General features: G+C 54.5%; 3 annotated features.

Moving 5' to 3' along the window:
* Nucleotides 3,970-4,019: a silencer, noted in NCBI's record as "silent region_13349". NCBI's record gives its function as "represses an Ori minimal core promoter by ATAC-STARR-seq in GM12878 lymphoblastoid cells {active_cell/tissue: GM12878}" and the evidence as "EXISTENCE:reporter gene assay evidence [ECO:0000049][PMID:35858748]".
* Nucleotides 8,092-11,542: an enhancer, noted in NCBI's record as "VISTA enhancer hs2248". NCBI's record gives its function as "enhancer in: neural tube[5/14] | limb[8/14]" and the evidence as "EXISTENCE:transgenic organism evidence [ECO:0001131][PMID:17130149]".
* Nucleotides 8,583-9,530: an enhancer, noted in NCBI's record as "H3K4me1 hESC enhancer chr21:44011363-44012310 (GRCh37/hg19 assembly coordinates)". NCBI's record gives its function as "activates a minimal SCP1, AML or CMV promoter by ChIP-STARR-seq in naive H9 embryonic stem cells {active_cell/tissue: H9 hESC(naive)}" and the evidence as "EXISTENCE:reporter gene assay evidence [ECO:0000049][PMID:30033119]".

The following is a 15,736-nucleotide window of genomic DNA, read 5'->3' on the forward strand; positions in this document are numbered from 1 at the left end:
AACCCTCTGAGCTAAACCCTGAGAACTTTTGGAAATGGAGAGTCGATCCTTTTTTTAAAATGAAGAGTATACACACAGCTATTTTTTTAAAGCAATTTAGCGGAAATTCACCTTGATTCATGGATGGAAGATTTCATTATGACTTTTAAGGAAAAAAGTACATGATTTCAATATAAAAATACATCTTCATTTGAGCATAGCTGAGGTATTTTCCATCTGCAAACAGCCAGCTCTGAGACACACACACTTGCCGTCCTGTGGAAGCGTGGCTCTGCCTGTCACGCACGTCTGCGCTTGCCGTCCTGTGGAAGCGTGGCTCTGCCTGTCACGCACGTCTGCGCTTGCCGTCCTGTGGAAGCGTGGCTCTGCCTGTCACGCACGTGTGCGCTTAGTGCACATCACTAAGACTCTCCTATTCATGTTGACAAAAAAATGCCGGATCATGGAAACACAAGCTGGTGACAGGGCCAACAAAAGAGCTCAAGGTGGGACTCCAGCTCTCCAGCCTGTCTGTAGGTAGGAAAAACTACTCCTGGAAGCTCACCTCAGTGAATGCACCTCAGAGTCCAAGAGCTGCCGCGAATACAGGGCCTGGTGGCTGCTATACTGTGCGTCTCAGAGCAGAGCCAGCTCTCCCATCGCCAGCTTGTAAAATCCAAGAAAACGAAATTGCTTGATAAACTACGAGCTGAAAAAAAATGAGCCCTGATTTATTATTATTCAATTCAACAGACATAAAAACCACTCTGCTAAATGGCCACAGGACCACTCCAGTCTTGACTCAGCAGAGCACAGCTGGGCCAGGTGAGAAGCAGGTGTGAGGGCACTGTGTCCCTTGCAGGCTGTGCCCACAAGGCACCCAGGCTGTCCCCCACAGGGCTCCGATGCGCCAGGTCACCTCCATTCCCAAGGCTCCGCATTGACCCACAGTCTCTGCACAGGACACCCCAGGTCCCTGGAGGGCAGTAGAAGAGGCTGTAGCACTGGCTGCCAAGGCAGGGGCAGCTGCCAGGCCCACCAGAGACCACGGGCAGTAGGCAGGTCACTTCCCAGGGTGGGGGGGGGGCTGAGGTGGGAGCACAACCTAGGCCCCTCCTGGGGAGGTGGTGGAGTCAGAATCACGTAAGAGCCAAAGTTCCAGTCCCTCAGTGCCGGCTCCATTGTCCCCTGGACTTCCCTTACAAACCACAGATGCAAAGAGAGCACTTCTCAGAATCTCCACACAGCCACGGTGGAGCACTCAACCCACGCGACCCTCGGGCGCAGGTGCTGGGTGACTGCCCTGGCCATGTGCCCTGTGGCCCGCAGAATGACACCTCATCCAGGATGGAAGCGGGAACCAAAAGCCTGGCTGAGAGACCCCAGGGGCCTGAGTCGGGAGGAGCGATGGTTCATTTGGAACCCAGTGGTGCCCTTCACTGAGTTTGGGTTAACTGTCATCACTTCCCTGTCCCGTGCGTTCCAACGTGCCCTGCCCCTGAGAACAGATCCAAGGGACTCTGAAGAACGCAGTCCTGAGCTGCTTGCTCATTCTGAAGCCAGCTCTTGTTGCTGGCCCCCTCCAAGGGGGCCTGTGAGCTCCAGACATGGGGATAATGTGGGGTCTGGGCCACCCGTAGTGGTGGCCAAGTGCAGCATGTTCCCCGCCACACCCCTTGGGAGCTGGAATTTAACTCCAGCTGCTGAACACAGGCAGTGTTTCTGGCACCCAGGGCCTCACCCTCCCAGGAGAGTCCATCATTGCTGAGCCAGTCGCAGGTCACCATGAAGCATCGCCCTGGGCAGCAAGTGGGATGCAGGGGCACAGCAGGGCACGTCCCAGGCGGCTGAGAAAGTCCACGGAGGGCAAGGGCAGGGGCGTGCGCCATCGTCGGAGACAGTCGGGGTGGGCAGCACCCTGGACTGCTGGGAAGGACAGTGGGGGGAGGGTGGAAGGCAGGGGAGCCCTTGCCAGTTGAGAATTTCTTGATCCTTGGAATTGGTCCCCAACATCCTCTGGGACACGCTTAACAATGGTCAGGTCTGGTAACTGAAAGAAGCAATTGAGGTAAATATCTCAATCAACCGAGGTTTATTCTGCCAGCGTTAGGGCATGTCCAGGAAAACACAAGCCACAGACACATCTGTGGCTGTTTTTCTAAAGAGGCTTACAAGAGGTTTGGTATTTAGACATTGAGGTGAGGTGAATGGTGACATTCTTGTGAGACTTCAGTTAGCACCCAGTAAATCTGCATTTCACATAAGGTAAATATTTGAAGAAGAAAAGGGAGCAAAGGAGGAATCCATTTTGCAGACTTCTCTGGGTAGGTGGAGGAACACTTGATCTCGTCTTGTCTTTGGCCTGCCCCTGGGAGGACAAGCTTGTAAAGGACATTATCAGCATAGAATGGAACAGACTCTCATTTTAGGAGCTGGACTTACATTGCACACCTAAATTTATGATTGGCATGTCCTTGTTTATGGGAGGCCAGCAAAGAATGTACTGATGAAAGATCTGTGGGAGCACTTGCAGACGGCTGTGGCCTCCACCTTTCTGTGGGGACCTGGCTGATGTATCCTATTCATGACAGCTGTCCATACGGATGCAGCGTTGCATGATTCTCACTCCAGGCTTAATCTTCCCTTTGGCATAAGAAGTTTGGGCATCCTGTGATTTTTACGCCCACAGCCACTTTTTTTTTTTTTTTTTTTTGAGACGGAGTCTCGCTCTGTCACCAGGCTGGAGTGAAGTGGCGCCATCTCAGCTCACTGCAACCTCTGCCTCCTGGGTTCAAGCAGTTCTCATCCCTCAGCCTCCCAAGTGGCTGGGATTACAGGCACGAGCCACCACGCCCAGCTAATTTTTGTATTTTTAGTAGAGACAGGGTTTCACCATGTTGGCCAGGCTGGTCTCAAACTCCTGATCTCATGATCCGACCACCTCGACCTCCCAAAGTGCTGGGATTACAGGCGTCAGCCACCAAGCCCAACCAGCCAGGCCAATTTTTGACCAAAACAGGATCGGTGAGTGGATGTCATGTGTCATTTGGGCCAACAGTGAACACGGACTTTGAAGGCATCTTGATCCAGAATATTCCATTCCCTTCTTCCTTGACTTGGTAATAACCAAGACGGTTCTGTCTCTCTTTGAAATTCTAAAATGAGGCAGGCATTGGACATTCTGTTACTGTTAAAATCCACACCCTGCCTGCCTCTAAAAGGAACTTGGAGTGGAGATGCAGAAAAATGGCAGGTGCGTTTAAGGAGTCCCTGCACCCCACGACGAAGTGACAGCCACACCCAGACATCCTGGAGCCCAAAAGGAGGAGCTAGTGGCTCTGGAGGGGCAGCCTCTCCGGGTCTCAAGGGCTATTATTATTATTTTTTTTTTTTTTTTGGAACTGAGGTGACATTTACATAACATGCAAATAATCATTTCAAAGCATACGGTCGGTGGCGTCTGGCGCATTCACAGTGCTGTGCAGCCACCAGCTCTCTCAAGGTCAACACGTCTCATCACCCCAGAAGATCACTAGAACCTGGTAAGCGATAGCTCCCCTTCCCCTCCCATTTAAAATGAGAGTTTTCAAGGAGATTGGGTCCAGGGTGGCTGTGAGCACTAAAATTCTGGAGCAAGGTGAAAAATAGACCCCACTTCTCCTTCCATGCTAAGCCACTGATTCATTAAAGAAACACAGGGAAGGAGCCTATACTCAAAATTAGCATCTCCAGTGGAAACATGGCTTGAGAATTATGCGTCCTTACGGACCAGAGACCAGGCCTCCAAGAATTCTCCCAGGAAACAAATGTCCAGCAGGACCATGGCTGGGCTGTCACGTCCAGAAGCCACCAGGCCACAGCAGGGGCCCCGGCAGGCAGGCCACCGTCGGAAGCCGGCAGGCCACCGTCGGAAGCCACCAGACCACAGCAGGGGCCCCGGCAGGCAGGCCACGGTCCAGAAGCCACCAGGCCACAGCAGGGGCCCCGGCAGACAGGCCACGGTCCAGAAGCCACCAGGCCACAGCAGGGGCCCTGGCAGGCAGGCCACGGTCCGGAAGCCACCAGGCCACAGGAGGGGCCCCGGCAGGCAGGCCACGGTCGGAAGCCACCAGGCCACAGCAGGGGCCCCCGGCAGGCAGGCCATGGTTGGGGCTGCTTTGGCCTCTCTTTCCCTTTTGCACCAGCTTTCAATAAGGCTTTCTTCTTCCACGTCCCCACGACCCCTTGATCGTCCACCTGCTATTGGCAGCGAAGCCTTGAGGCTCTCATGGTGTGTCCCCACATGTCCGCAGACGGGAAGGAGTCACCCCAGCCTCCTGGGGCAGCAGGATGCAGCATATCTGACTCTCATCACACTTTCTGTATCTCAGCAAGTTACCAACATTTCTTTGTATTTACTTCTGGTAAGAACAAAAACCTTAGCTGGGGCCTTGGCTGCCCTTGGAGCTGCTGGGAAAGTTACATGAGTAGAAGGGTTGGGTTAAAGCATGGAAACACCTCTGTCTACACCAGCTCACGATAAGCCTGAAGAGGAGTTTGGAGTCCCTCAGACGCTTTCGGCACCACTTAGTCAGCGGGGGGAATAATAGCTTTCCGGGAAATAGGCCCGAGACGCGGGAAGGGAAGGGAAGGGAACCCCGTGGGAAAGACCTTACTCATTCTGCCCCTTGCAGTCAGCACCTGAGGAGAAGCAGCGGGGAAAAGAAGTGCCAAGCTCGCCGCGTTGACCAGTGTCAGGGCCGAGTAGCCACAGGACAGAACTGAGAAGCGAGTACCAACATCAAGCCTGCCGCGCCATTTATATCCACGCATGCGTTTCCCCTTACCTGCACCGAGCCTCCCGCCCCGTTTACATCCACGCAGGCGTTTCCCCTTACCTGCACCGAGCCTCCATTCCCGTTTATATCCACGCAGGCGTTTCCCCTTACCTGCACCGAGCCTCCCGCCCCGTTTACATCCACGCAGGCGTTTCCCCTTACCTGCACCGAGCCTCCCGCCCCGTTTACATCCACGCAGGCGTTTCCCCTTACCTGCACCGAGCCTCCCGCCCCGTTTACATCCACGCAGGCGTTTCCCCTTACCTGCACCGAGCCTCCCGCCCCGTTTACATCCACGCAGGCGTTTCCCCTTACCTGCACCGAGCCTCCCGCCCCGTTTACATCCACGCAGGCGTTTCCCCTTACCTACACCGAGCCTCCCGCCCCGTTTACATCCACGCAGGCGTTTCCCCTTACCTGCACCGAGCCTCCCGCCCCGTTTACATCCACGCAGGCGTTTCCCCTTACCTGCACCGAGCCTCCCGCCCCGTTTACATCCACGCAGGCGTTTCCCCTTACCTGCACCGAGCCTGCCGCCCCGTTTACATCCACGCAGGCGTTTCCCCTTACCTGCACCGAGCCTGCCGCCCCGTTTACATCCACGCAGGCGTTTCCCCTTACCTGCACCGAGCCTCCCGCCCCGTTTATATCCACGCAGGCGTTTCCCCTTACCTGCACCGAGCCTCCATTCCCGTTTACATCCACGCAGGCGTTTCCCCTTACCTGCACCGAGCCTCCCGCCCCGTTTACATCCACGCAGGCGTTTCCCCTTACCTGCACCGAGCCTGCCGCCCCGTTTACATCCACGCAGGCGTTTCCCCTTACCTGCACCGAGCCTCCCGCCCCGTTTATATCCACGCAGGCGTTTCCCCTTACCTGCACCGAGCCTCCATTCCCGTTTACATCCACGCAGGCGTTTCCCCTTACCTGCACCGAGCCTCCCGCCCCGTTTACATCCACGCAGGCGTTTCCCCTTACCTGCACCGAGCCTCCATTCCCGTTTACATCCACGCAGGCGTTTCCCCTTACCTGCACCGAGCCTCCATTCCCGTTTATATCCATGCAGGCGTTTCCCCTTACCTGCACCGAGCCTCCCGCCCCGTTTACATCCACGCAGGCGTTTCCCCTTACCTGCACCGAGCCTCCCGCCCCGTTTACATCCACGCAGGCGTTTCCCCTTACCTGCACCGAGCCTCCCGCCCGGTTTACATCCACGCAGGCGTTTCCCCTTACCTGCACCGAGCCTCCCGCCCCGTTTACATCCACGCAGGCGTTTCCCCTTACCTGCACCGAGCCTCCCGCCCCGTTTACATCCACGCAGGCGTTTCCCCTTACCTGCACCGAGCCTCCCGCCCCGTTTACATCCACGCAGGCGTTTCCCCTTACCTGCACCGAGCCTCCATTCCCGTTTATATCCACGCAGGCGTTTCCCCTTACCTGCACCGAGCCTGCCGCCCCGTTTACATCCACGCAGGCGTTGCCCCTTACCTGCACCGAGCCTGCCGCCCCGTTTACATCCACGCAGGCGTTTCCCCTTACCTGCACCGAGCCTCCATTCCCGTTTATATCCACGCAGGCGTTTCCCCTTACCTGCACCGAGCCTCCATTCCCGTTTATATCCACGCAGGCGTTTCCCCTTACCTGCACCGAGCCTCCCGCCCCGTTTACATCCACGCAGGCGTTTCCCCTTACCTGCACCGAGCCTCCATTCCCGTTTATATCCACGCAGGCGTTTCCCCTTACCTGCACCGAGCCTCCCGCCCCGTTTACATCCACGCAGGCGTTTCCCCTTACCTGCACCGAGCCTCCATTCCCGTTTATATCCACGCAGGCGTTTCCCCTTACCTGCACCGGGCCTGCCGCCCCGTTTACATCCACGCAGGCGTTTCCCCTTACCTGCACCGAGCCTCCATTCCCGTTTATATCCACGCAGGCGTTTCCCCTTACCTGCACCGAGCCTCCATTCCCGTTTATATCCACGCAGGCGTTTCCCCTTACCTGCACCGAGCCTCCCGCCCCGTTTACATCCACGCAGGCGTTTCCCCTTACCTGCACCGAGCCTCCATTCCCGTTTATATCCACGCAGGCGTTTCCCCTTACCTGCACCGAGCCTCCCGCCCCGTTTACATCCACGCAGGCGTTTCCCCTTACCTGCACCGAGCCTCCATTCCCGTTTATATCCACGCAGGCGTTTCCCCTTACCTGCACCGAGCCTCCCGCCCCGTTTACATCCACGCAGGCGTTTCCCCTTACCTGCACCGAGCCTCCATTCCCGTTTATATCCACGCAGGCGTTTCCCCTTACCTGCACCGAGCCTCCATTCCCGTTTATATCCACGCAGGCGTTTCCCCTTACCTGCACCGAGCCTCCATTCCCGTTTATATCCACGCAGGCGTTTCCCCTTACCTGCACCGAGCCTCCCGCCCCGTTTACATCCACGCAGGCGTTTCCCCTTACCTGCACCGAGCCTCCATTCCCGTTTATATCCACGCAGGCGTTTCCCCTTACCTGCACCGAGCCTCCCGCCCCGTTTACATCCACGCAGGCGTTTCCCCTTACCTGCACCGAGCCTCCATTCCCGTTTATATCCACGCAGGCGTTTCCCCTTACCTGCACCGAGCCTCCCGCCCCGTTTACATCCACGCAGGCGTTTCCCCTTACCTGCACCGAGCCTCCATTCCCGTTTATATCCACGCAGGCGTTTCCCCTTACCTGCACCGAGCCTCCATTCCCGTTTATATCCACGCAGGCGTTTCCCCTTACCTGCACCGAGCCTCCATTCCCGTTTATATCCACGCAGGCGTTTCCCCTTACCTGCACCGAGCCTCCCGCCCCGTTTATATCCACGCAGGCGTTTCCCCTTACCTGCACCGGGCCTGCCGCCCCGTTTACATCCACGCATGCGTTTCCCCTTACCTGCACTGGGCCTGCCACCCTGTTTATATCTATGCCTGCGTTTTCCTCTTGCCTTTTCAATCCAGAGGCCTCACTAGCTTTGGCCTAGTCATCCTTTCTCCTTGTCTTCTCTTCAGGTATTTTATTGATGACTTCCTGATAGCACCAAATGGCTCCCCGAGGGCTCTGAGGCATTCACACGTGTGTGAGAGTGTGCAGGGATTCCCTGGAATTCAGAGGGACTGCCTTAGACTAATTTGACTGCTTTTGGGCAAAATAAGCTTATGGCCTGAAACTTGCCGATTATCCTGGCCCAGCCGTGCCTTGCCAAAGGTGTCTCTGGCCTGGCTAGCGGGTTGGGGCAGCAGCAGCAATCACCAGTGTGACCTGAGGGCGCCGTGTCACAAGCGCAGGGTACTTTGGTGGACACCTGAGAGGCAGGAATCCTGCTCAGGAGGATGAGGCTGCAGGACGCCCCCACAGCCTGTTGTGGTCAGACCCCGAGGATCCAGTGCCAGCTTGTGGTCCCCCTACTCGCTTACTGAGAACCCAGAGCCTGCCCCCAGGGCCCCGAGAGCCTTTACGCACAGTTTAATAACTAGCTGTGACTGCACACCCATGCAAGCGCTCTCCCGGGCAGGAAATCAAATGTCACCAGCACTCCGGAAACAGCCCTTATGAGGAAACGGCATTCTGGCCCCGGGGGTTTTAACTGACTTTACCTGGTGGGCCATGTGGATCCCCTCAGCCGCGCCTCTCCTCTTTACAGCCTTTGCCCACTGTCCTACTGGGCCGTTTGTCTCTTTCTAACTAATTTGTGTCAGTACCTTCTGAGCTCCGTTCATGTCTGTGAGGGTTAGTTTTCTGCGCCCTCTTGACCAGGCCTTAGGACCCAGTTATTCAAGTGAACACTACTTAGGATGTTGTCGTGAAGGCATTTTATAAATGTGCTTAACATCGCCAATCCATCAACTTTAACTAAAGGAGATTTATCCTCCATAACTTGGGTGGGCCTGGTTCAGTCAGTTGAAGGGTTTGAGAGCAAAACTGAGGCTTCCCCGAGGAAGGAGAAATCCCACCCGTGGACTCAGCCTCAGCTCTGGCCTGAGAGTTTCCAGCCTGACACCTGCCCTGGATTTCAGACTTGCCTAGCCAGCCCCCACAGTTACATAAGCCAGTTCCTTGAAGTGAATCTGTGTGTGCACATGTGCATGTGTGTGTGTGTGCATGTGTGTGTCCATGTGTGTGTCCGTGCATGAGTGTGCATGTGTGTATGCATGCATGTGTCCGTGTGTGCATCCATGTGTGCATGCACATGTGCATGTGTGTGCATGTGTGTGCACGTGTGCGTGTGTGTGCGTGTGTGTGCGTGCATGTGTGTGCACGTGTGCGTGTGTGTGCATGCATGTGTGTGCATGTGTGTGTGCGTGTGTGTGCACGTGTGCGTGTGATCTCCAACTGGTTCTGTTCCTCTGGCTGAACCTGGAGGATGCATCGTCTTTCTGCATTGTCTACCTGTTTTACAGGGACCTGCCTTATCTTTAAAATCAGAAGTAATTAAGTTCATTTTAAAAGTCAAGGCGAGTACCAAAAAGAATGTAAACACTCTATTCCAAGGCTGTTTCTTCCTGGGACAGTTGTATTTTTAACACATTTTCCCAAGAGTTGCTGCAGCCACTCTGTGTGAGCCCCGCATCCTACCACAGCCTTAGGGACAGCAAGGTCACCAGCTCTAGAAGCTCTGCCTTCAGAACGGCCCACTCTGCAGCCAGCCCCATGAAGACACCTCTTGGGTGCCTGGTGTTGTAAAATTTACCCAAATCCAGAGCCATGATTCCAAACCTGATGGTAGAAGAGCAGCATTCATTTGCTTGTTCATTCATTCAGCACACTCGTATTGCCAAGCCCTGAGAATAAGCGCAGGGATACGGTAATAAACCGGGAGAGCCAAATCGGCCCCATGGAGTCGAGTCTAGGGGAAGCAATAGACGACTAACAAAGGAACAGTAAACAGTCTGGGGCAGGAGCGGGGGGTGTATGATTGTGTATTGACGGTCGTCTTCGAGGATGGGATAAGGGTGTGATGGAATGAACCCTGCAGATCTAAGGAAAGGCCATTCCAGACCCTAGAGGAGGTCCAGGAAGGAAGTTCAGGAGCACAGGCCACAGAGGGTCACTGATTTCACCAATTTCACCAGGATCAGGGTTTTCCATACCACTAAGGCTGGAGGGACAAGGGACAGGAGCGTGAAAGGAGAGGCGAGGCTGGTGCCCCAGGAAACCCAAGCCTGGTCTCAGGCTGGTGAAGAGGTGGATGATGGAGCGAGTGGGGAATGAGTGGTCCCAGTGGCCGGAAAGCTTGCTGGGGGCTGATCTGGACAGATGGGAGGTGGGTGAGGTCCTGGGAGCGGAGGTTCTGGAGACCGGCGGGCATGGCCAATGATGAGCCCTAGGACGTGACTCTCACAATGGGGACTGAAGGGGTTGGAGGGAGGTGCCGTTGGAAAATTGCAGTAAGTGAGAAGAGTCAGAAATGGGAGGACCAGAGGGAAAGCCACTTCTCAGAGAAGAGTAACAGGTTCAACTTTGGTCCAATAATCACAATTTAGAGCTGACAGCAGCTTCAGAGGCCATGTGACAGATAAGGAAACTAAGGCCCCAAAAGCAGCCGTGGAGACCAGACCCAGGGGTTCCGGCCACGGCTCTGTGCCTTTTGTAAAGGCAGCCTATGTCTGCACTCACCTGTGCTCTGGCCCAGGCCGGCCCTGCACTTCGATTGCCGGGAGCCCTGCACGCGGAACTGTGTCTGCAGAAGCTCCTTTTGGCACCTGGGAGGGCACCTCTCATCAGTACTCCAGGACCTCGGCCATCGCCACGGACCGCAGGGTGAACGCTGGGTGGGCTGTACCATGGCCTCGGCCACCGCCTGCAGATCCAGGCTCCCTGCAGCCTGCTGGGCTGGTGGCCTCAGGGGACCGGTGAGCTGCGTCTGCCTGGGCTCCCGAAAGGCCGCTCCCAGATTTTGATTTTGCTTTGTTACCTAGAACCCAGGCCCTCTGTTGCCACAAGAGGGCCCCCCAGCCCCGGCTCACTGAGGCCCTCCCCGTGGAGGAGCGTATCCTGTCCGGTCCGCAGCTCAAATATCCAGAGATCGGGAGACCCCGGCCCTGGCCCCACCCCCGCCCCAGCTGGGCCACACTGCCCCCTCCACCACACCCCGGCAAGCCCCTCCTGGGGCTGCACTCAGTCCTGGGTGTCAGAGGGTCCTCTGGCTTCGCTTGTCACATTTAATGACAAATCAGAAATCAAATGTATCCAGAGCCAGCCTGGGCTTTAGGATAGAAGGGGAGGGCAGGAGTGGGGGCTCCGGGGACAGGGGCTGGCCGAGGAGGGAGGATGGGGGCAAGAGGATATTCGTGGGGCACCCACTCCCCACCCATCCGCCACCCCCTCCTCCCAGGGCTCCTTCTGAGGCCTCGCTGTCCCCGCCTTTTAGTAAAAAGTGGAGAAACAGCCTCACAGGGTGACCTGCTTCAGCTCCCAAAGCCATGCTGTGGCTGACCAGGGTCAGGACCCAGGTACCAGGTCCACGGCTCAGGGGTGGGAGCCAAGCCTCACTCGACTCCACGCTCAGGGCCGGGACCCAGGCCACAAGCCCGACCTTTGTCCTTTCCTCGAGCTTGCTGGGAAGCCTAGACTCACCCAAATCCAACCCAAAAAAGGCTGCAACAAACCAGCCTTGCTTGTGATTTCGTTTTATGATTTTCTTTTCACATTTTCTTACTATGGGAATTCTCATGGGTACATAAAAATAGACAGCTTAATATGCACCATATCCCATCCCTCAGCCTTGACAGTTGTCAACAGCCTGCCTTTCCTGCTTCAAATCTACCATGTAAGCCTTCATTTTATCTCATATGGTTTGCTTTTTTTTTTTTTTTTTTTTTTTTGAGCTGGTGTCTCACTCTGTTACCCAGGCTGGAGTGCAGTGGCGCCATCTCGGCTCACTGCAACCTCTGCCTCCCAGGTTCAAGCGATTCTCCTGCCTCAGCCTCCCGAGCAGCTGGGACTACAGGCTCACACCGCCATGTCTGGCTAATTTTTGTATTTTTGTAGAGATGGGGTTTCATGATGTTGGCTTCACAATGTTGGCCAGGCTGGTCTCAAACTCCTGGACTCAAGTAATCTGCCTGCCTCAGCCTCCCGAAGTGCTGGGATTACAGGCGTGAGCCACCATGCCCAGCCTTATTACGTATTTTTAAGCAAATTATTGGATCATACCATTGCACCCAAACAATGCTGCCGTGTTACACAGCCATTTGTCCAGCCTCCTGTTCTATGGATGAAGATCACCAGGGTTCTCCACTTTCCAGACGAACGAAGCCACTGACGACCCGACAGGCCACGTGACTTGGCACAGCGCAGCCCTCAGGATCAGGGTCCTATCAGAGCCCTCTGGGGATGCTGGTTGTGCCTGGTGGCATTGCAGGAGGGAACGAGCCCTGCCTGGACTGTCCCCAGGTGATCACACACATGCCACCGGGATGAGGCAGGAGGGTGGACCCTTGTGAGAGGAACAAGCCACGGGTGCTCTGTCCCCTGGCATCCCCTCAGCAGCAGGACTCTAAATCCCCTCGCCTCCTACTGAAGGAGGAGAGAAATGAGTAAGAAATTGAAGTTACCACTAACGTTATTTTTAGAAACTGCAGTACGAAATGAAAAAAAAATGTCTCCAGACTGCCGAGGAAACGAGAAATACATGCCTCCAAATTATATGAAAGGCAAGAAAACCACCCAAGTGCCAGTGACTCACAGGAGCTGGGGTGGGTTCAATCAGGATAGGGAACTCCTGGAGGGCCTTCAACTGGGCGGCAAGTTGATGGCACTGCTGTCACCCTGCAGGAAAGACCCGGCTCTCTTCCAAAGCCTCCCCAGCCATTTGCAAGCTCAGCGTGGGAAGCAGGCTGGGCTGAGCACGTCCAGGGCTCCCAAACTACGCTGGAGCCAAAATCCAGGACTCCCGCCTGAATTGGGATCCTTGGAGCGGGGTGCTGGAGGGAATGCTGCGGCCTCTCAGGTCTGTGACCGCGTCCACGCCAAGGCTTGCTGCATGCAACCCGTAAGCTGAGAGTTGCCACCATCCAGACACCACCCTGTGCAGCGGAGTGGGGCAGGGCAGGACTGAGAGACGGTGTCTGCCCTCCAGACCACCTTGCAGGCCCATGCTGTGGGGCTCAGTCTCCCTCACCCTGGGGCATGGATCAAGCAGGCCTGTCCCCTCTAAGAATGCCCCATCTCTGTAGTCCTCTGTAAAAGTCACTAATGCTTTCTGCCAAGTATTTCCAATTCTTGCCCCTTCTAGGCTCCTGCAGCAATTCCGCTCCCAGCCTCCTACCATGTTGGCCAACATTTTGACACGTGAACCTTCTGGGCTGGGCATGGGTCATGTGGCAGAGCCATTTCCCCTTGGCCATGGGGACTGGCAACATCCGACACGTCGGCTGCTCAGTGAGCCTGGTCCAGGCGTGGCAGTGTGAGGCAGAGTCCCCCAGCCCAGTAGCCCCCCAGTAACTGGGTAACCAATGTGACAGGACGGCCACGGGGAGGCCGGGGTGGTGCTCAGTGGGCAGAGGTGGCTCATTTACAGCACTGTGCCTGTGACGCTGTGGGAAGCCGACCTCACACCTAACAAAATCGCAGCTCCAGAGGAGGGGCCTGGAAACGATGTTAGTAGTAATGGGTGTTGCTTGCCTTTGGATTGCTTTAGAAAGATATTATAAGGAAATGATGCACTCAGAAAGTAATTATGTGGTTTGTAAGCCAGGATGAAAGGGAACGGAGAGTTCAATTCAGGAACGTGCAGGACTAAACAGAAGCTCCTCAAATACCAACAGCAAAATGGTAAAATGGAAAGATGCCTGAAGCAACAGCTGCCACAAAAGCTCAACGTCTTCAAGAGGGAAATCAAGCCATGGCCTCATGTCCACTTCCACCACATCTCTTAAGAGAAAACTCAAATCTTTTTTTCTCTGCTCTCACACAACTACAACAATCAGCACAGAAGACTTCTGTGACCCCAAAATATGTGGAGATTTCTCCCCACCAGCAAGCAAGCAGTCAGCACTACAGCAGACACCGTCTGGGTGTCCTGTAATTCCATCCTGACACTCTACCTGGAGAGAGCTTGTATTCCATAGGATGGGGGCTCCGTCCCCAAGACTGCCCCCTCCCACCTCAGACACCAGTTGCAAGCCTGTGCCTCTGGAACTTCTGACCAACTGGCTATAAATCAGGGTTCCCACAACCCCATCTCTGGGTTCAATTAATTTGCTGGAGCAGCTCATACAACTCAGGAAAACACTTATGTTTACCAGTTTGTTATAAAAGACATTGCAAAAGATACAGATGAAGAAACACATAGGGCAAAGTATGGGGGAAAGGGTGCAGAGCTTCCATGCCCTCCCCAGGGGCCACCCTCCAGGAGCCTCTGTGTGGTCAGTGTTCAGCCATCCTGAAGAGCCCTTTCCTCTTGGGCCTTTCATGGAGATGCATGGGGTGGGCATGATTGACAACCATGTAGAAATATGATTGGCCCAAAAGGATATGGTCTAAACCCGGCGAGGCTGTCTGGCCACATTCTTCTTGGCTTTTCTGGGCAGCATTCCCTCCTCCAGGGTGTGGGGTAGGACCCCCTCTGGAATGAGGGGCTTATGACCCACAAGCAGATTAGGGTTCCACCTGCCCAAGGCAGGTGAAAAGAGGGCAGAAGAAGATCAGGGAGAGAGATTCTGTTTGTTAGGGCTGTGGGAGTTATAAGCCAGGAACTGTGGACAAAACCCCATATATATATATATGTATATACATACATATATGCATATATTAAGCCATATGTGTATGTATGTATATATACATATACATATATGTATATACATCTATATGGGGTTTTGTCCACATTTTTTATACATTTTTTTTATATATAAGATAATATTACAATGTCTGAATGGACCGAAGTGAATCATGTCAGGTGGACACAATGGCTCGGGAAAAACAGACAAAGGGTATGGCATTCCTATGTAAGCTCTGTCGCCTCGAGAGGCCTGCAATCGTCTCTCTCCATAATTTCAGTAAGAAGCCGAACAAACGCATTTTTAAGAGGATGGTAACACCAAAGGACCTATAAACCTAGAAGAAAATCATCAATTATCATTATCTGTAGCAGTTTATGTTCTAAAAAGTCACTGTAAACACGGATTTAGAGATGAATGAACCATGCTCCTAGGAGAAAGACAGGGTTAAGGTTCCTGAGAGCTCTGGTCACTAAATTTTCATCAATCCACACACGATCTTGTTTTATGTGTGTTTCTGTTTAAAGACACCTGTGTAATATTGTTGACTCATTAACATTGAAGCTTTCTCTAAGATGCCTTTTTTCTCTGTCTGGCACATGGCACCCGGCTTCCCAGTGCTTAGGACCACATCATCACTATGCTTGGGCCAACTTAGACAGCAAAACCACCCAAAAAAAAAAAAAAGTCACTAAGGAGACCATGGAAAGACCCGTGTTTACAGGATGAGCTAGAACGAGAAGGCAGAACGTCACTGTGTGCAACCTCAGCTGGGAACATGCACATCCTATGTCTTAAACTTTCCCCCTCCCTGTATGTGTCCAGTGACCCGGAGTGCCCCAAGTATTGATGTGGGGGTTACAAATACATTTTCCCCAGCGGGTGAATTCACAGACTGCATTTGTGATCGTTTGAGAACTTGAGAATAACCCAGGGCTCCCATTCTTTGAGGAGTGGCAGAGAGGCTGAGAAAGTGGGGACTCTCCAGTGCCTGGGACGCAGGTGGCCCAGGGGACAGACCAAAGGAAGGGCCAGTCACTGCCACCAAGAACATGGACTGGGGCCTGCCTAGGGAGGAGAGCTAGGGCCACATCAGGGAGTGTCCCCTACCGAACTGGGATCTCCGGCTGGCCGCACTCCACGATTGCCATGTGCTTGCCACTCTGCCCCTCTCTGAATGGGGGCTGGTTGCTATTGTCT

Source organism: Homo sapiens, chromosome 21 (assembly GCF_000001405.40).
Source record: "Homo sapiens chromosome 21, GRCh38.p14 Primary Assembly".
In the NCBI taxonomy this organism is placed as follows: domain Eukaryota; kingdom Metazoa; phylum Chordata; class Mammalia; order Primates; family Hominidae; genus Homo; species Homo sapiens.